This window comes from Homo sapiens, chromosome 18 (assembly GCF_000001405.40).
Source record: "Homo sapiens chromosome 18, GRCh38.p14 Primary Assembly".
In the NCBI taxonomy this organism is placed as follows: Eukaryota; Metazoa; Chordata; class Mammalia; order Primates; family Hominidae; genus Homo; species Homo sapiens.
This window is the reverse complement of record NC_000018.10, coordinates 40,037,577-40,060,026: the sequence shown is the minus strand read 5'-3', so window position 1 is coordinate 40,060,026 and position 22,450 is coordinate 40,037,577. Positions and strand designations below refer to the sequence as shown.

The 22,450-nt window shown below is 37.1% G+C and overlaps 1 annotated feature.

Moving 5' to 3' along the window:
* Positions 17,671-18,205: an enhancer, noted in NCBI's record as "OCT4-NANOG hESC enhancer chr18:37621786-37622320 (GRCh37/hg19 assembly coordinates)". NCBI's record gives its function as "activates a minimal SCP1, AML or CMV promoter by ChIP-STARR-seq in naive H9 embryonic stem cells {active_cell/tissue: H9 hESC(naive)}" and the evidence as "EXISTENCE:reporter gene assay evidence [ECO:0000049][PMID:30033119]".

The following is a 22,450-nucleotide window of genomic DNA, read 5'->3' as shown; positions in this document are numbered from 1 at the left end:
TTCAAATGTATTCTTCCAGGTTTTTATGAAGGAATATTCTTTAAAGTAGGAGGATCAAATATAATTTGATAGTTTATTATCTTGGTTTTTTAAAAAAGTAAATATTTAACATATGTTATGTAGGTATCCATTTGTACTATTGCTCCAGGAATCACATGTGGTAAGAAGTAGCAAATGACGAAGTATGATTTTGTGGGTTGTAGACAACTTTCTTGTTCTAAGATGTTCCTCTATAGCTAGTTGCTACAGCTGAAATCCTACCATCATTGTTCCTTGTTCAAACGTAAATTCACCTGAGGTTATCACTTCTGTGGGATTGGCATATCTAAATTCTTTCCGGATGGTAGTTTTAGAGAATATGTTTTAATATGTGGAAGATAGAAAAGCTATGAAAACAGAGATGGCTGTGTAGGTCTGAGAAAGACTCAGGGAAAACCACAGAGAAGAAGGAATGATAAAGGGAACCCACAGAGTAACTAAGAACAATGTGGTGGACTTGCAGAGATGATGGCTCCCAAAGGTGCGTCAAGTTCAGTTACATCAGATCATCATTTCTGACCTTCAGATCCCAAGTGCATTTTGCTTATGTCTTCTGTGGGTCTGGTCCAGGGCTAGTGTTTTTCTCAAATTCATAGCAAAGTGAAACAGATGGGACAGGACTACTGTACCCAATGCCATCTCTGGCACTGGCAGGTTTCACAGTCTTATGAAAACAACTCTCTGCCATAATTTTCTCCTCTCTAGGACAGAGAGAATATTTCCTGACAAATCTTATTCTTGAGGCATTTTTTGTTGGTTTTACCTGTGTTTTTGTTTCTCCCTTTTATTTAGTTTTTTTTTTATTCTTTTTTTTTAACTCAGATAATAATGACTTCGAAGGGGATCCTATAAAATAAAGTGTTTTGTACATAAATATATGAATAGGCTGCTAACGTTGTGTGTGTGGGTAGGAGGATGAGTTTGTGTTGGACTTCTAATCATGGTAAAGGCATTGTGCAACAGGAAACACCACACTAATGGGTTGAGGTTGCTGTAACTGCTGTGGTTTAATACAAGAAGGGGGCCACCTCCACCATTTGTAAGAGAATAGTACACAGAAACAGAATTCAAATAGTTCACCAAAAGCCAAGTCCCTGAAAGTCCTCTGCCAACAAGCTGGAGGTTGGATAGAACTCTGAGGTAATGGATGGTTCCAGGACCATTGGAAAATCAGAGTAGACTTTTGGGGTGAAATTTTCTTTAGTGGTTAGATACAGAATGTTACCTAGAAGGTGCAAAAACACCTAAAAGTGTGTCTTATCAAATTCAAGATTATTCTAAAATCAGATATTAATTCAAATGATTATTATAATAAAATTATGATTGAATGTTTACTGTATACATAATGTGAGATGGCACATATTGAGGGCTTACCATATGCCAGGCTTGTATTACATAAAACATTACCTCTTTTTAGTTCCACAGCAATTCCCCAAGAGTTAGGTAAAATTTTTATTCTCATGTATCAGTAAGGATCAGGCAGGAAAACAGATTCCATGACAGAGATCTTGAAATGCTTTGAGGAACTGGAGTTAGTGGTAATGCCTGAATGAGTGATAAGTGGCTGGGAAGCTGTTTGGAAAGGTGCCAGCAAAGCAAACTGTTACAGGAAAGGATCCTGATCCAGACCCCTAAAGGGTTCTTGGATCTCATGCAAGAAATAATTCAGGGCAAGTCCATAGAGTAAAGTGAAACCAAGTTTATTAAGAAATAAAGGAATAAAAGAATGGCTACTCCATAGACAGAACAGCCCTGAGAGCTGCTGGGTGCCCATTTTTATGGTTATTTCTTGATTATATGCTAAACAAGGATAGATTATTTATGCTTTTCCTTTTTAGACCCTATAGGGTAACTACCTGGTGTTGCCGTGGCATTTATAAAATGTCATGGTGCTAATGGAAGGGCCAGATGTCACTCTCGTCACCATCTTGGTTTTGGCGGGTTGTGGACAGCTTCTTTACTGTAAACTGTTTTATCAGCAAGGTCTTTAGGACCTGTATTTTGTGCTTACTTTCTATTTCATCCTGTGACTTAGAATGCCTTAACCATCTGGGAATGCAGCCGAGTGAGTTTCAGCCTGATTTTATCCAGCTCCTATTCAAGATGGAGTTGCTCTGGTTCACATGCCTCTGACAATACTACCAAAGACAAAGTTTGTTGTTTCAGTTCCAACCATGAGTTATATATTCAATGAAAATAAAAACAAAAACATTGAGCACCTTATATGTATCAGAGCCTCTACAGAAGGTCAGTGTGTTAGTCTGTTCTCATGCTACTAATAAAGACATACCCAAGACTGGGTAATTCATAAAGAAAAAGAGGTTTGTTGGACTCACAGTTCCACATGGTTGGGAGGCCTCACAATCACTGCAGAAGGCAAAGGAGGAGCAAAATCATGCCTTACATGGTGGCAGACAAGACAGAGCTTGTGTAGGGGAACTCCCCTTTATAAAATCATCAGCTCTCATGAAACTTATTCACTACTATGAGAACAGTATGGGGGAAACCACCCCCATGATTCAATTATCCCCACCTGGTCCTGCCCTTGACAGGTGGGAATTATTACTTTTTAAGGTGAGATTTGGATGGGGTCACAACCAAACGATATCAGTCAAAATATGAATAAACACAATTCACATTTCTTATGAGAGAGGCAGATATTAAAATATAAATTCAAATTTGGTGTGATAGTTGTTCAATAGCAGCATGCGCAATATCAAGGGAAGGTCTAAGTAACTCAGCACATGGGGATAGGGAATAACTTTACTGCAGAGGCAACGATGTGTCTACATTTTAAGGGGCATAGGATAATAGCCACATATCTTAAAAGAAATTTAACAGAAATGATTGGCAGAGTAAGCCACACAAAACAACAAGCTTTTATAATACCTAACTAAAACAGAAAAGGGTAACTTACATTAGGAAATGATTAGATACGAATTAAACTGTTGTACATATCTAACTGGCAAACTAACTTTTTAGCAGAATAAGATATTATTTTTGAGTCTATCAGATACAGTATTTTATGAACCAAACTATCTCAAACTTAAAAAGAAAAAAAATTAAGACTTAGATGCAAAGAAATCTTGATTGCTTTCCTCCAACTACCCCTTGAATGTCCTTCTTCTTGTCTTCACAACCCACTTCTCTCATATTACACAACCCCAAGCAAGGTGATACAATTCCAAGACAAATACATTCTCCCAAGCACTGAATAATACTTAATATTTCTCCTCAGGTGATAGGGAAAAAATGGGGTGCTTCTTGTCACCATTCAGATCTTAATAGTTAGGGAAGCTATATATACTCTGAAAAGACAAATGAGTTCAAAATAACATCTGAAAATAGCCAGAAGTTAAGAAGTTCCATAATAGGAAGCTGTAAAGTGCTACCCAAACAGATGAACAAGAGAAATCAAGCAGAGAGAAGCAGAAAGGCTGCTGATTACTTTGCTCTAATATAAATCATTCTGTTTGGGGCTTTGTTGGTATTACAGTCCCTAGAGTATGTGCTGTGCTGGGAACCTCTGGTAGCATCTGATTAGAAAGGTGCAGTTGTCAGTGCATTTCTACTCTTTGGAAATGTGAAGTGATGAAATATCAAAGTCAATATTTTTGCCAATCTTCCCTGCCCTTTGCAAATCTTGCATCTCTCCAGGGGCCTGAAATCTGCTGGTCCTGGAGCGGATCCATGTGTGACTGCCAACAAAGCCTCTCCAAGGAGAGGCTGAGTGTTTGATTCCACATTGGGCAGACAAACACACTCCGCTGTGTTCTCCCCAGTGAGTGGAGAAAACTCCAAAGGCAGACACAGTGATGGAGTAAAAGATTCTGCAGCAATGAACCAAAAGGCTCTGTTGTGATTTTATTTACCTATTTTGTTTTTTCTCTCTGTTTTTTAATAAAAATATTTAATATAAAATGGCTATGTTTTGAAGAAAATGATAAAAAATTAATATGGAGCTTGGAGCAATGTGGTAGAGGAAATTCTGCAAAATCCAGTGGAGTACAATTTGCTCCTGCTAATACCACTTTTAGTGGAGTCTTGTTCCTTTCATTTCTTTCTAAATAATTATGATAAAGCCTGGCTATCCTACCAGTACCTTTGACTAGATACACCCTCATACAATATTGAGTTGTCTTTTACTGATTTATTTCTCTTTTTATTTTTCTATCATCACTATCTCTTCAATGTTTACTTGTTTCCTATATATTTTAAATATTAACCATTTGTAGAAATGTCAAGGTGATTACCATTTTCTGCACTATAAGGCTTCTCACATGACCTGGAAAGAGGTTGTACCTATGCTCTAGAAATCTAGCTGTCTAGAGTAGTTCAGATCTACTTTGAGTCCAGGCGTGACAACGAGGAGTAAACTGCACGATTATCGTTCAAGAATTTTGTCAAGTGTACATGTTCTCAGGACAAAGCCCTGGGATTCTGATTCTGTATGAGTGTTTTGGAGCTCAGGAATCTGATTTTTGACATGTACTCTTAAGTGATACTGATATAAGTGATCACTAGGTCATAAATCAAGATGTTGGTCTAGAGTATCATGTCCAAATTCCTTAGTGAGTCATCCAAGCTTCCTCACCATTGGCTGTCGAATGCATGGTTAGTTCTCACAATTTCAAAGTACTCCAAGGGTATTCAGAATCATTTTCCCACTCTCTCTTTCTTCCCTATGCCCTCTTTACTTTCCTCACTTTACATTATATTACATGGTATAGAGTTTAGAACTCAGCTTTATTATCAGGCATTCTTTAGAGTCAGAAAATCTTCCCTCTGCAGCTTCACAACCTTAGTTTCATAATCACATGCAAGCCAATTTACACTTCTGTTCTCAGTTTCTTCATTTACAAAATGGAGATCATTCAGGTTGTCATATGAATTTAGGGCTAACTTCATGGGTGTGCAAGCTGTGCAGTCACATAGAACCCCAAACTTACAAGGGCTGACACCTAATTTAATGGTCTACTCTTGGTGTCTTCAGGCTCACAGTAATTTTTAAGACAGGAATCTTGCATTTTAATTTTGCTCTGCTCCTTGCAAAAAAATGGATTTGGTCTTGTTTGTGTTAAAAAAAAGATAATTTGGTAACACTGAATTTTCATGGATGCATAGATGTTATTCTTTTTATTATTCTTGCACATCTTCCTATTCTAACTTAAAACAGCTGGAGTCAGCTCTGCTTTGAAATGTTGGTTTATGAATGGTGGAGGAAATATTCAAACCAAGGTCTCCAATATAACCAAGGGGCAGATTTAGCTTTTCTGAGGCGAGCATCCCCATTTATCTGTGGTTCAAGTCCTCAGGCCCAGAGGCAAGGCTTCTGACTAGTCCCTGCCTTCAGAATGAGTTTCTTATATCAGCCATTGAACTAATAATTATTTATATCTGCTTTGAGACTGTCAGTAAAATTTATTTCCATAACTTCTAAAATCAAAATAAATGTAAAGTCTTTAACCCAAATTAGCAAATACAGGATTATACAAACACAGAAACCAGACATTAAAAAAAATTTCCAACTTTCCCTTTTGAAAAATCAATTATCCACATTTATAGGAACACCTAGTATTATTGTCTAAAATGTTGAACCTGAATTCAATAAGTATTCCATGTATAACTCTTAGTTTACTGGAAACATTTGGGACAGAGGAACAAATTCAACAAGAGAAAGGTTTTATAAAATAGATTTAAAAAATGTAACAACTCAATGTAATTACTGATCTAGGTTGGAGCTTGATAAGCAAACCATCAGGACATTGTGATTGACAGAATAGTATTCATATAGGGCTTAAAAAGGTAGACATATAGGCCAGGTGTGATGGCTCACACCTGTAATCCCAGCACTTTCGGAGGCCAAGGCAGGCGGATCATGAGGTCAGGAGACTGAGACCATCCTGGCTAACATGGTGAAACCCCGTCTCTACTAAAAATACAAAAAATTAGCTGGGCGTGGTGGCAGGCACCTGTAGTCCCAGCTACTCGGGAGGCTGAGGCAGGAGAATGGCGTGAACCCAAAGGCAGAGCTTGCAGTGAGCTGAGATTGTGCCACTGCACTCCAGCATGGGTGACAGAGTGAGATTCCATCTCAAAAAAAAAAAAAAAAAAAAAAAAAAAAGATGGACATACAGATCAACAAGAACCAAACTGGGAGTCCAGAAGTAGACCAACACATATATGGTAAGATGTATTTGTGACAGAACTGACAGAGTAATTCCGTAGGAAAATGATATATTTTTCAACAAATGGTGCTAGAACATTGGATATCTGTAAGAAAGAAAGTAAACCTTAACTCCTACCTCATATGGTATACAACTTCTCTTAAAATGGATAAAAGTTATAAAGGTAAAAGTTAAAGGTATAAAATTTATCAAATTAAACATAAGATAAAATTATATAACCATTTGAATAGGCAAAGATATCTTAGAAAACAAAACCACGACCATTAAAAAAAAATGAATAAATTGGACTTCATTCAAATTAAATACTTCTGTTTTTTGAATAATTCAATTATTTAAAATGAAACAACAAGCTGTAGAATTGTATCAGTAACACTCTTGAACCTCAAAATCAGAAGACAAACCCGTAAAAATTTGGGCAAAAGATGTGTGAACACATACTTTACAAGAGAAGATGTATGGATGGCAAATAAGCACTGATCTCATCATCATTAGTCATTAGAGAAGGGTGCAAATTAAAACAACCATGGGATGCCACTAGACAGCCACTAGAATTGCTAAAATTAAAAAGATTGGCTATAGGATGGCCAGAGTGTGAACCAAATAGATCTTCCATATTTGTTGGTGGGAATGTAAAACAGCACAACCAATTAGAAAATTAAGCAATTTTCCAGAAAGTCAAATATACACACAGTATATGACCTAGAAATTTCACTCTTAGGTATCTACCTAAAAGAAATTTTAAAAAATCTCCAAACAAAATTTGTTCTCAAATGTTTCTAACAATTTTTATTTATAATTAACTCCCAACACAAATGTTCTTCAACAGGTAAACAGATAAACAAAATGTTGTCATCCATATAATGGAATACTGCACAACAAACCACTGATACATGAAACGGTATGGCTGTATTTTTAAAACATCAAACTGGCTGGACACGGTGGCTCATGCCTGTAATCCCAGCACTTTGGGAGGCCGAGGAGGGTGGATCATGAGGTCAGGTCACCAGCCTGACCAACATAGTGACACCCCGTCTCTACTAAAAATAAAAAAATACAAAAAATTAGCTGGTTGTGGTGGGGTGTGCCTATAATCCCAGCTAATTAGGAGGCTGAGGCAGGAGAATCACTTGAACTGGGTATGCAGAGGTTGCAGTGAGCCAAGATTGTACCATTGCACTCCAGCCTGGGCAACAGAGTGACTCTGTCTTAAAAAAAAAAATCATACTAACTTAATGCAGATATAAAAATGTATGTACTATTTGATTATAGTATATAAAATTATAGAAAATGCAAACAGACTATAATTGGATCAGTATTTGCCTGATGCCAGGTGTCCAGGAAGAAAGATTGAATGAATTTTAAGGTGTGCAAGACAAATTTGGGGTTAATGGAAATGCTCTAAAATTTAATTGTGATGGTAGGTAAATATATGTGTACAGTTGTGAAAATTCACCAAAATGTACATTTAAAATGGGTGCATTTTATTGTATCTACATTTTGTTTTAATTAATTTAACATGGATTTCACGTAGTTGAGGAGTGTAATTCAAATTAATTGAATTAGCTGTTTATTACTACAAATCAAATTTTTAATGTAAAGCATATATTGTGCCAATTCAATATTTTACTCAGGCATGACTTTATGATAGTGACATTAAGGGAAGTTTGAAGCCATTTATAAATATAATCAACAACAAGGATTTGGTAAGGTTTAAGGCTAGGGCATTGTACAATAATTTTTTCTTTGGAAGTCAGAGGTGTGTGTGTGTGCATATCTGTGTGTGCATGTGTGTGTCTGTATACATGTTTTTGTGTGTATACATTTCTCTACTAAGTGTTTTTAGAGTTGGGTAATGGAAGGCGGATGTGAGATTTACAAAATAGAACAGGCCTAGTGTTAAGAAATACAGTGACAAAAAATGCACATATGCTCCACCAATTGAAGATTAATTTGAATTAAGGAGCACAATTTGAAGATACCAATTGTACCCATCTGCAACCATTCAGACTGTATTATCAAATATAACTAATGGAATTAAAGCTTGGATGTTATATGACTTAGCAAATGAAAATTCCCATCAGGAAAGTGGTTAATTCTATAACCTTGGTTTTTGATGGGGAGTGCAGATATGAATAAAATGATACAAACTTTAAAACTGAGAATTTCTTGTTAGTGAAGGAGAAAAAGACCCATAGACAGTAGTAGAGGAAACTGGAGCATAAACTTGTGGGTGTTTAGCTTTGCTGATTAATAATTTCTCTTACATACTCATACCTTTCTATTTAATTGATCTCTAACTAATTTTTCTTAAAGTGTGCTTTGCACAGCACCTGCAGAGAATCACATGCATGTTAAAATTGGGATTTAAGAGATGCCTCCAAACACACTGAACTAAAATATTTGTGAGTTTTCTATTGGAGGGACAACAAACACCCAGGTTAATTAATCTGTGGGTACCCTGAAGTTTGAAAACTTCAGTTAAGTTTGCATCTATTTAAATACCGATTGGATTTTGTAAAGTTCTGTAGCCTACATTATAAAAGTAAGCTCCTAGTTTTGGTCATTTAATTCATCCCATTTTCTATAAAAGAAGTGTGAAAAAGAGCTGAAGGAACCCCGTGAAGAACACCTGAGGAGCCCATACAGTTAGAGAATGATATTATAATTGTCTAATCTTGAGGCATGAAGTGGCCCCAGAAAAGCGGTCACAAGAAGAATTATGGTTCTTAAAATTGCAAAACAATATGAATGGGAAATGAGGTTTATAACATGCATATAACATATACATATATGTCTATATGTTCATTAAAATTTTTTTAAAGTGTCCAACTATTACTTACTGAACACTATTATTGGTTTATTGGTTAACTCATTCCTCACTTCAGCAATTCCTCATATATTTACTGCCTACTCTGAGATTAGTATTCTGAGGGATTAAAAAATGCTATAGCCAATGGAGGTTATTTTCCACTGAATGAGAACAGACAAATATACATCTCTTAAAAACAATTTAAGTTATACCTAAAACTCTACGGAACGCTATATAAATATTACACAAATAGAGAAGAGATGAGTGGAGGTCAAAATACTGGATAAGAAAGTTTCATAGGGATGATAAGAAGATAAGAGATGACCTGTTCTTTAAGTTGATTTAAGGTTGAATAGAATTCAAACCAGGCTGTTTGTCATGGCTGTCACTTGGGAAGGGATGATATGAGCAAGTCATACACTGCAGGATAGGGTACTTCCTCAGTGAGCTTAGAGGGGTGAAGGTGGCATATCTCAAAGAGTCAGCATATTGGGGTGAAAATAGGACATGAAGCTTAACTGCCAAACATTTGAATTTATTGGGGACATAAGTCATATACATCCCCAACACTGGTGAATAGTCAGTGGTCACTTAAAGAAGGAAGAAAATCATGTTGGGGGATAATCCTGAAATTAACAAGAGTGGGACTGAGCCTAGAAGAATGAGTAACTTATGTGAGTGGGAGGGGGGTATCCTACCAAAAAACTAGTGGATTAAAAAAGAGATATTTAAATATTTAAATAAACCAATTATTGAAGATTAATACGTTAAATAAACCAATTCTTGAATATATTGGCAGGACCCCTACCATAAGGTATCCTGGTGGTCATATTGAGGAATTTTTATTGATCTGGAAAGCCTAAAGAATCCCTGAAGGTTTTTATCAGAGAACAAATGCAACAGATTATGGCGAAAAAAAATTCTTGCTGCATGGTGAGAAGTAAATCAAAGAAGCACAAGGGTGGGTAACTAGGCCAGTTACAAAACTAATGTGGCATCCTAATTCATTTCGGAAATGGCAGCGAATTCTCTAGAGTGGGAATGAATATGGGGTGGGGGCTGAGATGTAGGAATGCAGACGAGTAACAGGAAGCAGCAGCAGGAATGAGCAGCATTTGCTATCGGACCCTCACCACTCACCCATCCCCAGACTCACAGAATCCCCATTCCTTCCTTTCTCTTTTGATAGGGGAGTACCAGAATATAAAAAAGCAAATATTCTCCTTTGTTTCTTAATTTGTTGTATTCTTAATTACCTGGTGCCCATGTGTATGCTTAAGAGTGTGTGTGTGTGTGCATGCGTGTGTGTGTGTGTGTGGTGTGGGGTGTGTGTGTGTGTGTGCGCCTGTGACTCTGTGTCTATGAAAGAGAGAGAGAGAGAGAGGTGGGTTGGGGTATGGGATAAGGATGCTTGTTCCAAATACAGGGGCGTTTTCTTGGACCAGTGTAATATCTTGTTGGCTAAATGGAGATGCCTGTCATCCTTCATTAATAAAAATTAACTGTAAATCTCCCTGCTTCCCACAGGAGGGCCTTTTAAACATTCCATCAGGGGCCTGTGGAGGACGTCTGGCGGCGAGTCAATCAAGAAGCAGCATGAACTGGCAGTAGAATCTACGAGGAATTTTAAAATATACATTTATATATACATGCATATACTCTTTTTTTTCGATCTGCCATTCCTAGGCAGACTTCCTCTGAATTAGCTTCCGTGGTCTCTCCACAGACAGTTGTTTTTCCCACTCTCCCACCCCAGCCCCTTATGCTTCCCTCACCACCCTAGCACCCCCACCCTCCGCCGCCCCCCTAGTGCTGGAGACCTGTGCAATATCATTTTCCGCATAATGAAATCCGGAGTGACATTAATATAAGTGTAATTTTATAGAAGGGAATGGCCCTGGCTGATGGTTTCTACCTGCTGTGTTTTGATGATAGACATCGGGATGTCACCATCTGTGTAATGAAATTTCACCTCCGTAATGGTTCAGACTATCAACCGTTCTTCCAAGCTGGCTCTGGGAATCTATTTATTTATTTATTTACGTATTTATTTATCTGCAAACGGGTGCTGTAGGCCTGTTTATCATAGAAAGTATGGGTGAAAAGAGGATTAAGTGCATTAAGGAAAGTAAAGGAGAAGTGGATGTAAACATTGGCTATTGCCCCATAAATACATTGATCGTGAGGTGAAGTTACAATGCCCAGTCCTGCAAATGAGTTTTTTCTTCTACATTAACCTACATAGTTCTCTAATTGGGACAGATACTGATGAGTTAATTTCAGATAAGTGTAAAATTAAGGTAAGTAACATATATGGAAAGCCTATTATGTGAATGTGTAGAAATTATCTCATTTAACTTCCAAATAATGTTGTCAGGATGCAATGACTTAGCAGGTATAAAGTTCCAGAAGACAAATACAAGACAAATGTGTAATACTCAGCAAAAGGTAGGCACTCTTACTCACTTAAGCAAAAAGTGAGACTCAGAGAGGATAATTAACTCGGAGATGAAACACAATTTAACCCAGAACCGTCTTCCTCATAAATTCATGCTCTTTTCATTACCCCAAGCTGCCTCCTAGGCACTGAGGCCAAATTGGGGTTGGTGAATTGGATTCAGCAGGGAAAATTTCAGATATGTCCAAATGCCCAAATATGGCTGTATAATTTCAAGTTGGAATATCAACTATTTGTGTCTCCAGTTGCCAGCAATGACCTAGATTTTGTTTGTTTTCTATTTCTCTAATGCTTAGCTGTGACAATGGCATTAAAAAGATAAAGGAGACAGGAGAGAGGATAAATATTGATATGTAATTATTTCAGTTAGATTGCAAACTGCTTATTCCATTACATAACAAGTCCATTTGTTTATGAATAGTTAGAACTACACTTCATATGATATCCAGGAACAAAATACACGTTTTTGATAATTTTTGAATATTATGGCTGATTATAGCTCCTACTCATTTTTTAAATAAAACTGCTAGTAGTATTATTTCATAACTATTCAGTGTTTTACTCTTTTCAATTCTGATTTTTTATTTTTAAACTAAAAAAAAAAAAAAAACCTAGGTTTCAAATTTCTGTCTCAACTCTTTTCATTAGTGAGATTATTTAACTTTGAGGTATGCCACAAGTAATAGATAATAATAATAGCTATATAATCACATTTTTAAATTATTTATCTTTGTTGTAAATATGTTTGAGCAGATTCAAGATTATAATGTAATTTTTGATAATTGAAAACTCTCATATGATTTCTTCATATCAGTAGAAAAGAAAGGAATAGAATTACTATTGTTTGCCACATAAAATTCAAAGTCTCTGTACTTGTATCATGGCTTGCAGAACCCACCTGAAATTTACATGAGTTCTCGGCCAAGTGTGATGGCTCACACCTGTATTCCTAGCACTTTGGGTGGCTGAGGCGGGAGGATCACTTGAGGTTAGGAGTTTGAAACCCACCTGGCCAACATGGCGAAACCCCGTCTCTACTAAAAATACAAACAAATTAGCTGGGTGTGGTGGTGCACGCCTGTAGTCCCAGCTACTTGGGAGGCTGAGGTAAGAGAATTGCTTGAACCCAGGAGGTGGAGGTTGCAGTGAGCCAAGATCGTGCCACTGCACTCCAGCCTAGGCAACAAAATGAGACTCTGTCAAAAAAACAAACAAAAAAAAAGAATGAAAAAATAGAAGAAATTTACATGAGTCCTGACAAAAGCTTGAGAATTCAGGATCTACTTGGGTAAGTGTAGTTGGCATTCCAGCCTCTTCTGAATAATGTGTGATTTTCCCATCTTCTTTCTTTCACCCCTTCTGCATAGTCACTCTTCGTGTTAACTTGGTTTATATCTCATTCTGTGTATTTGTCTCATATCTCCCAGTTCTATTAGAACCTCCCCAAAATGAGGAGCTAATTTTACTCATCTTTATTTCTTACAACACCTGGCATAATGCACTGAAAAATTAGGGACTCAATTTACATGTGTTCAATCACCCTCCTTTAACCAGCATTAAAGCTTGAACATCATTCCTGGTTCTTCAGTTCTCCTGCATGGAGTCTTGAGCCTTTCTTCATCACCTCAGTCAGAAGACTCTGTGATTGGAGATTCCAAGAGATCATCCTCGATCACCATTTTATGCGGGCAGAGCAAAGAATAAAAATGCTTAATACCTGGACAGATGGCCCAAGAGTCATTGGAGTGTGAAGCTGGCAATGTTTCCTTCGTAGTGAGCACATGCTTATCCACTTTAGAATAAACAAACCCAGTGGTATAGGTTTGTTTATCAACAGGAGGTAAGGATAGAGGTGGGGGACAAGTTTATTTTCTTGACAACTTCCATCTGCATCTTGGGCCAAAACCCCTGCTAACTCAAGATTAGAATACTTCCCTTAAAAATGTGTTTACAGTGACCAGAAACCTTTGCATTGATGAGAGACCAGAGCTTGGGGTACCTATCCCAGTTAATGCAGCCCCCTAATAATTTCACCTATATCTAGGGGCATCTACAGCCTCTAAAATCCCACCTTACACTTTACCTTATTCCATGCAATCTCCTCTCCAATTAAACCGAACTTCACCCAGTTTGATCTAACCATTAAAACACGGATGACAATCCTTTGCATTGAACGAGATGAGCTTATCCTAGTCAATGTTTGTTGAGCGAAGCCCAAATCTCACTCACCACCTTTTGTCTGTTTTCAATTTCTGCCAAACCCCTCACTTTTCCCTTTTGGGAAGATGTCATTATCTAAGACTCATTAAGAGAAATTATTCACCATAATGACTACAATTGTTACATGTACTGAGCTTCTAACCCTGAAAATTCAAGTTCAAACGTTCCTACATACACATACTGAAACACACACCACCCACACATACAAAATCTATTCTTTATTTCTGGTCACATTTTGTTGAATGCCCCTCCAGGGTATTAAAGCTTCTTCTGTTGCATTGACACTTACTCTCTCTTTCCAGATTAGAGGTGGAACATGAACAGTTCAAATGCAGTCCAATCTCCACACATTGGGTCTGGAGTAACATCAGCAAGATAATTACATATAAAAGTTGAGCTTCAATTAATTGGGAGTTCTAGGCCTATAAACTAAGGTTTAGGAAATTTGCCTTTGCTAGAGCTTTTGAAGAGCAAGAGGAAGGAATCAAGGTAACTCAGGAAAACTTAGAAGCAGGAAGAGCCAGTGGCCATAAATGGTATGAACAGATGGGCTTCTAAGGGGCAAGAGGTCTTGTGTTTCAGTGTAAGTGAGAGGCCAGTAATCAAGGTCCTATCCTACAACAGTGAAAGTGAGGAAAAGAGATCAGAGCTGGGATCTCATTAATTTTCTGTGAAGTTTGTAACAAGGGCATGTTGTCGCAGGTCTCAAATCTGTGATAGTTTTCCAGGTTTATGCAAACTGTGTTAGCTATAGGAATGATCTAGTCCCTTTTCCTACTGCTCTAAGTCTATAATTCAGGCAGAAGGATGCAGTCATGTGCAGCATGTTCTTCTGTTCTCATCGCTTTATTCTGTATGGAATCTGCTCAGTGGGCCCCTTTGGTGACGTTTTTTCTATTTTACAGAGGAAAGCCAGGAACCTAGTTATAACCTGACGGCATGACTTCTATATACCGGGACAGGGGTGGGGAGGGGGAAGAAAAAATCTCACATTCAACTGTAAAATGAAATAAAAAGGTAATAGCACATATATTGTTGAAATTGCATCCTATATTTTAAAATTTTGATTAAAAAACTTAAAGATTTAAAACTCTACCTTATCTAGCCTGTATTCAAGGGAAGTTGTCTGACATTAGCAAGGTTGTAGACAATGTAAGTGTCTCAATAGACGTTACTCAGAGCTCCAAAATCATCCTTCCAAACTTTTAGAACTGCAGAGCTTCTCATGCTGAAATTGCCTAGGGATCTCAAAGGCCTTCTCTGGCAACCCAGAACACAGAAATAAATGGATGAGATTTAGAGGAGTTAGCAAATCATAGCCTATAGGCCCAATCTAGCCCATCGCCTGCTTTTGTTAATGAAATATTACTGTTATGTATTGTCTATGGCTCTTTTTGTGCTATGTTTGCAGAGTTGAGGAGTTGTGATGTGGCCTGCAGTGCTTAAATTATTTGCTATTTGGCCCTCAACAAAAAAAAAAAGTTTGTTAACCCCCACATTAGAGAATATGAACATTAGAAAGTGTCATGTAAGCATCCTTTAAGTGACTATACAAATAGGGACAAACAACTAACAAAACAAATAAAATGCCATGTATATTATTTTATAAGTAGCTGATAAAAATCTTAACTCATATGACAAATAACGTGACATTTATCCTGAAGAAGAAGAGAGAAAGAAGGGGACACTAAAGTCTTATTTTCAAGATAGTCCATCATAATGGAATTTTTGATATCATTTGTCCCAGTTTATAGAAGTAAAAGAAAATGCAACTTAATTCAAAAACAGAAATTGGAACTTTCTTTTAAAGGAATGAGTAAGTGTTAAAATAAAAACACGCCTCATTCCCTAGTTAGAAATTATTTCCAAATCAGGTAATTTTCTTTATGAGGCATCCCAAACCCATTTACTTTTCTCCATCCCCAATGCCCACCTTGGCTCAAACCATCACTGTCTCCCAAATGAATTATTAGATTCATAACTGGTTTTGTCTATTCACATCAATTCTCTACAATGCTGTCAGAGTGTTTCTTCTACAGACAGACTTGATTATGCTTAAAACTGTTAAAAGCCTTCATACTGCGGGGAGGACAGAGCTTAGACCTCTTACTCTGGCCTATAAGGATGTCTCTCATCTTTCCTTCTCCATTTCAAATCATTGGTCTCAACTCTTGACCTCTTGTGCTTCCCACCATAAAAGTAATTAATTGCTCTTTCATCAATGGCTAAACTCTCAACATCCTCCCAGCTTTTGCCTTTACCTGTTCCTCTTCCTAGACTTTCTTTCCCCACCCCTGTCCCAATCTTCAAATAGCAAGACTGAGCTAGATAGGTATCTTCCCTTAAATCTTACCAATGGAAGCACACTCCATTTACTATCCTACTGTATTAATTGGTTACTTTTCTCTGTCCCCAAATAAGTAGAATCAGCTTCAGAACAGAGGTCATGGTTTCTTTATTTTTCTATCATTAGAGTTTAACATGCCTGGTACAATTTTGAAGCTCAATAAACTGTCTCAAATAACACAGTAAATGAATAAATAAATGGATGAAAAGAAGGATGAGAGAAAAAGACGAAGAAAGAGAAAAAGAACAAATTTATGCCCTCTTGCCCAAGAAGAATATAAAAATACAGTTGGTTTGGGGGGCATGAGGATGGGATCAGAGGCACATGCTACTGTAAGATGCAAGTGTATTTTCAGAGAAAATAAATTATAGTGTGTTTCTTGTATAGCAAACTGTAAACCTATCACCTCCTGCTGTAAATCTGACCCTCCATGGAATAAATCTGTCCTGTAATCTCAGTGTTTTTCATAAAATAGCATTCCATTCTTTAAAAGAGTAAAATGATCTAATCTGCAGTTCCAAAACTTCACTTTTCAAAAAAAAAGAAAGGATTATTGAAATTTATAGATTTGGCCATGGCAAAATGGCATTTATATTTTTCAGAGTTAAAATGAAATAAAATATATAACTTGTTGGGTTTTGCTTTCATGACAAATAGGCACTGACAAATACATACCACATTACCATCCTTGATTGCTCTGATGGAACTCATTTTCATCTTGTGTTCCTCTAATTACATGAAAATTGCATACTTTTTATGCATGACACATTTTGCACAGCTTTAGCAAAAGGTTGTGATGAAAAGGAGAAAAAAAAAATTTATCAGTTTTTCCCCTTTCACAGCAGCAATTGATCACCTTCCCAGCAATCAGTCTTGCTTTATGGGCCTACTTTTCTCCACTATTGTTGTAACCAAGTGGCAGCAGAAGGGCCTGTATACAAGAAAATATGGTGGGGACTTTTAGGTCCTTTTCTCTACTCTTAATAGATGAGATTTAGGATGCCCTTGCTTTCCGATGGTTGTTGCTGAGTTTTCTTTGCTTTCTACATCCCTGTCTGCCTGGATTTGAAGCTTTCACCTTAGAAAGACTGATAGGACTCCTGTATAAGAATCTCATCTCACCCCTTATTTCTCATTCATTCAAACTACTTTACATTTATAGCAAATATTTAAAATTGTAAAGCACTTTCCCACATTTTTTTTTTTACATTTTAACTCCACAATTAAATGTAATATATTTAGGGAAGGCAATTTTAATCTACCTTTTTAAAATGAAGAATGATTACATGACTTGTGGTTTACCTAAGTTGATGTGATTTATTTATTTTAAATCTTGAAGCTGACTCAGAAGTCCTGGCCTCCTGTTCCAGCTTTTCCCAGTGTTTGACTTCTCTTTACTGAAGACCTCGGGAAAGAGTTTTTCTGCTACCTATCCCTAAAATGCATACAAAGAATACATCAATAACAAATACCCGAGCAAATTACAGGCAATCAATTGGGTGTTTCTTTTCTCATTCTTTATTTCTATTCTTTCTGAGAAAGAAGGCATTGGCATTCAGAGGAAGCTCAGCGTCATTGTATTTAACTCGAAAGGGATTGTAGAAGGCACATCTCATTCCTTGAAAATAATGACAAATTATGCAATTTTTGTTTTACCCAACTAGATTGAAAACGCCTGGGGAATAGCCAAGCTGCCTGGCAAAGGGAGGCATTTGATGTTCAGGCTTTGGAGCTCAGGGAACGACATTGCTTTTTAAACAGGTGCGGGCTCCTAACGCTGCGCTTGCTTCCCTTTTTTGGACAGGCACAGCACCTGACCAACTTCGGGAGAACAAAGCCTCCATCTGGACCAAAGGGAAAGAGAGCTGGTCGCCTGTGGAGCAGCAAAGAACAAGGCTTTGCTTCCCTTTGAAGAGCTGGCGTTCTTGTTAATCACCTGGCAAAGTCTTAATTTAAAGAGGGACTCTTAGAGAAGGGGAGAATCCCAAGTATATTTGACTTTCATATCTACCTACCTTTCATCAGCTTTATTAAAATTGGTGATGTCTCATGTATTAATTGTGAACCCCATTTGTATCTGAATATGAAGTATTGCCTTGAGGTCCTCTGTCATTGCTCTCTGGTCCTGGGATGTACTCACATTGCTGCCTTCTCCGTGGAGTAATTATTTCTGGGGATAAATACTGTAGTGTCAGGCACACTGGATTACAACTGTTGCAGGGTAAACACAAGGGGACTTCAGGTTTTTAGAATGCCTAATTAGACGACAGTAAATGCACTGTGCAATGACTGAAAAATACAAGCCTGGGAAGTATTGCATTTTCACCATTGCAGGCTACGTGCATTGACACATTTCATATATTTATTCTTACGAAATAAATATCATAAAGGAATTATCTTGTCCTGTTAGAAAGACATCTCAAATATTCACTTTGGATAAATATATGAATCCACAAAGCCATAGTCTTGGGAGGGGAGGTCAGCCCCATCTCATGTGTGGAATATGTCAATGATTCCTCTGTATGTATCTCACCCAGCTTCCACAGTGGAGTGCTATTAACAATCAGAGGGTAAGGGATTTCTTGATGTTATACTTGATACTTGGTGTTGGATGCAGCCAAATGCAGGAAATACAAAAAAACTAGGGTACTTCTGGCCATAAAAGGGTTTGTAATCTATGCGAGAAAAATAAAATCATCTGTGAACGTTATTGCGAAAAATAGAATTAAGCATTAAAACAAAATCAATGAGAAATAAGAGTAAGAGAGTTTTAGTCAAAGAAATAAGTAACAGGGTCCATGGAATGGCAGTTTAAGATAAACCTTACAGCTTGTATGGAGTTAGAAAAGGAAGGATACAGATGATGTGTTTTTAGTTTTGATTACTTCAAAGAGAAAAGACATACAGTATGCAAGAATAAACCAGCAGAAATTCTAGTGGGGATGTTCACCATGTGATAGTCGAGTTTTGAAATGATCCCTGGATAAATGGAGACTTGACTTTAGTCAGTTATCAGATTAGAAATTAAAGATGAAGTTTGGCTTTTGATGAGAGGAGTGTGTGTATGCGTACACACCCATGCACGCATGTGTGCATACATTCAGAAAACCCCTTGCTGTCTCCTTGTCTCATGCTACAGATTTCCATGAGGTGCCACACCCAGATACAACCCATTGACATGTGATCTATACTCCAAAATATCCCTCTCTTTCTTCATCATGGCAAGCTTTCACTTTCTAGCCTGTTTCTAGCTGTCAGGCTACGGGAGTGACCAACAAAATGATCTGACACCAAGTTGTGTATGTGTAACTGCTGTAACACATGCTACTTCTTCCAAACTGCATATATTTGCAAAGGGTATGCCTAACCCGAGGAGCCAGGGGAATACCTCTCCAAGGGGCAGATAACTGAGGAGTTTGAGAACAGGAGGACATCTGAGTGTCCCTCAGTTTCCTCCAGATAAGTTGCTGCCTACTCACTGAAATGTATCCTAGGACAGGAAAGGGCTTGCTCTGTAGGCCTGCAGACAGTCCCAGGCCTATAAACAATGGAGCTTGTCATATTGGGGGTTGGAAGTGAAAAGATAGAGAGGTGGTGCTAGCAAAATCCCATTTAGAGAATTATTTATTATTCTAGTTTGTAGTTTATGCTTACAGTATCTGTAATAAATAAACATGCTCCAGAAGAAGCACAACTTAACAAGGAGTAGATGAGACTGAATGTGACAACTCCAGCCCTGTACAAGAGGCAGTGGCCCATTAAATGAATGTTCACAGCTACTTCTTAATGCTCTCCCTCAGTAATCAATTTCTGAAAATACCAAATAATTTTGAAACAGCCCTTTCTGACCTCATTCTCCAGTGATGCTGGACCAGCCCTTGCTGATTTGCCTACCTAGTTTTTAATCAATCAGATTTGACATTTGTGTTGTTTTGTTTCTCTCCTTTGCCTACCCCTACACCTTTTCTCTTTCCCTGGCAATATTAAATGGTAGCTGCCCTTTCTCAAGGTTAGGGTCCAAAATGTAGCTTAATATTTATAGATTTGGGCATCTTTGGAAATAGCAGCAGACGAATCTAAATGCCATTGCAAGGGGCTAGAACATTCTGATGCTGCACTAGGATTTGCTTTCTGTTCAGATAAAAAGACCCAAGATGCCCAGAGCCTGAACACAGACAGAACTTGAGAAAGAAATGCTGTCAGCCTGAAATATCTCCTATCAGACTTTTAAACAGGGTCTGATTCAGACAAAAGGGTTAAAAAAATCCAATTTGAGTCTTCTTTCTCTTTTTTGACTGATTAGATTATCCAGGTCATCCATAAAAAAAGTCTCCAATTTCCCAGTGTGTAAGAGATAATATCTGTGAAAGGGTTTTTAGAGAATCGACTTTTTAAATATACACTGTATAAAATAACCCTCCTATTTATTTGTTCATTTTTTTCTTTGAAATCTCAATTCCCTCTTCTTGTTTTTCCCCTCCTCTCGCATCCTTTTAGCTTCTTTCCTGCTCTTCCTTTCTCTTGTCATCATTCTTATTTTGAATATAATTATAGTTGTTAAGATGTATCTTAGTAAGGGTGGAATATTGGGGATGTGAGAAAGGGAGTCACCATAGAAGGTCATTGGAGTTCACGATTTTATATAGGGGGAAAGGAGAAAGAAAGGTTAAGAAGATCAAATGAAGATTAGTGAGATTAGAAGTGATGCTCCATTAAAAAAATTAAAAAGCTTTAGATAAGAGAAGAAATTGTTTTGACAGATGAGAAGATCACAATCCATACAAAAAAAAAAGTTTAGATTCTCAGGAAGCAAGTTGATAGTTACTGAAAAATTAACTGTGATGATGGGGAATATACTCAAGAAGTAGATGGTTGTCAAACTATGGATCACACAAAAGTTTAAAATTTTAAATTTTAAATTTTTTAGAAAAACATGGGCCAGGATCTTTGCCTATAAGATACACAATCTTAACAAGTTTTAGAGGTCAATAGTTTAACAAACTAATAGCAAAAGATATAGGTGTAAATCAGTGACCTGGAAGACTTTCTGGTAAGGGTATGTCTAAAATGGCTGCTAGAATAAGACAATGCTATTAATATGAATTATGTCAAATAACAAATACGCTAGGCAGTTAGTAGAAGGGAAGAAATCAAATGTGGTCCATATAAAGAATTGACCAAATAAGGAACTAAAACTGTAACTATACTGTAGCATAGATCAACAAGTATAGTCAATATGGGAAAAGTCCAGCTGCCTGCATGTTATTGCATAGTTCTTGAGCTAATTGTTTCAACATTTTTAAATCGTTACAAAATAATCAAAAGAAGAATACTATTCTATGACACTTATAATGTATATAAAATTCAAATTTCAGTGTCCATTAAAAAAGTTTAATTGGAACACAGCCAAGCTTACTTTTTTTGTCTGTAGCTGCTTTCATGCTATATAAAAGGGTTTAATTGTTGCAACAGAGACCATATGGCCTGTACAGCCTAAAATATTTACTATCTAGCTCTTTACAGAAAAGCTTTCAATTCTTGATCTGTAGGCTCTGATTTTGGGAAAATTGGGTTCTTGTCCATATATTTAATTCAATTAAACAGATATTAATTGAATGTCTACTACTTTCAGTGATGTGTTCTGTAATACGTGAAATTACATTGTAAATGTCTGTTCCTTTGGGATTTCTTTGATAAGCAAAATTGGTATGAGAATCTACCATAAGCCCGGTATAAAGATTGAAATAAAGAGGTCATTTTAGTCAATTAAGACTCTGTGTGAGTTTTTCTGGCTCAAAAAAATACTAATAAAAAGGAAAGGTTATTCTAAAAGGAGATCACACCATGAGTTTTGGACAACAGGTATCAGAAAACACATGTCCTAGAAACAAGTATCTGTTTAATAGTCCCAGAACATGGCTGTGTGCAAGTAAGAAGTAGCAGAATCAAGGTTAAAAAGAAACATTAATTTGGCTGAATTATTAAGTCCCTTCATGTGATGTTAAGAATTTAGATTTTTCCCCTGATAAGAGATCATGAATTTTTGACCTCAGATTGATTGTAAAGAAGAGTGAGTTTGAGATATATTTCAGAGATAGAATCAGTGAACCAACTAAATATTGGAGTGAGGAGACAGAAATGGGGAGGTTTCTGGATGTGTTGCCTGCATGAACAAGGGCCTTCCTAAGGTGATGATGAAGGAGGTAGTAAGAGAATGGGGAGGCTGAGGTCTGAAAGTAGGTTTGAGTGGCCTGTGGGAAATTCATGGGCACAGATTTAAGCACAGGGAAAAGATATCTCCAAGTGGATAAGAAGAGTTGAAAACGATCATTATAAGCCAGGAGCCGAAGGCCTGGGATAAGTGGGATATCCAGGGAGGGCAAATCAAA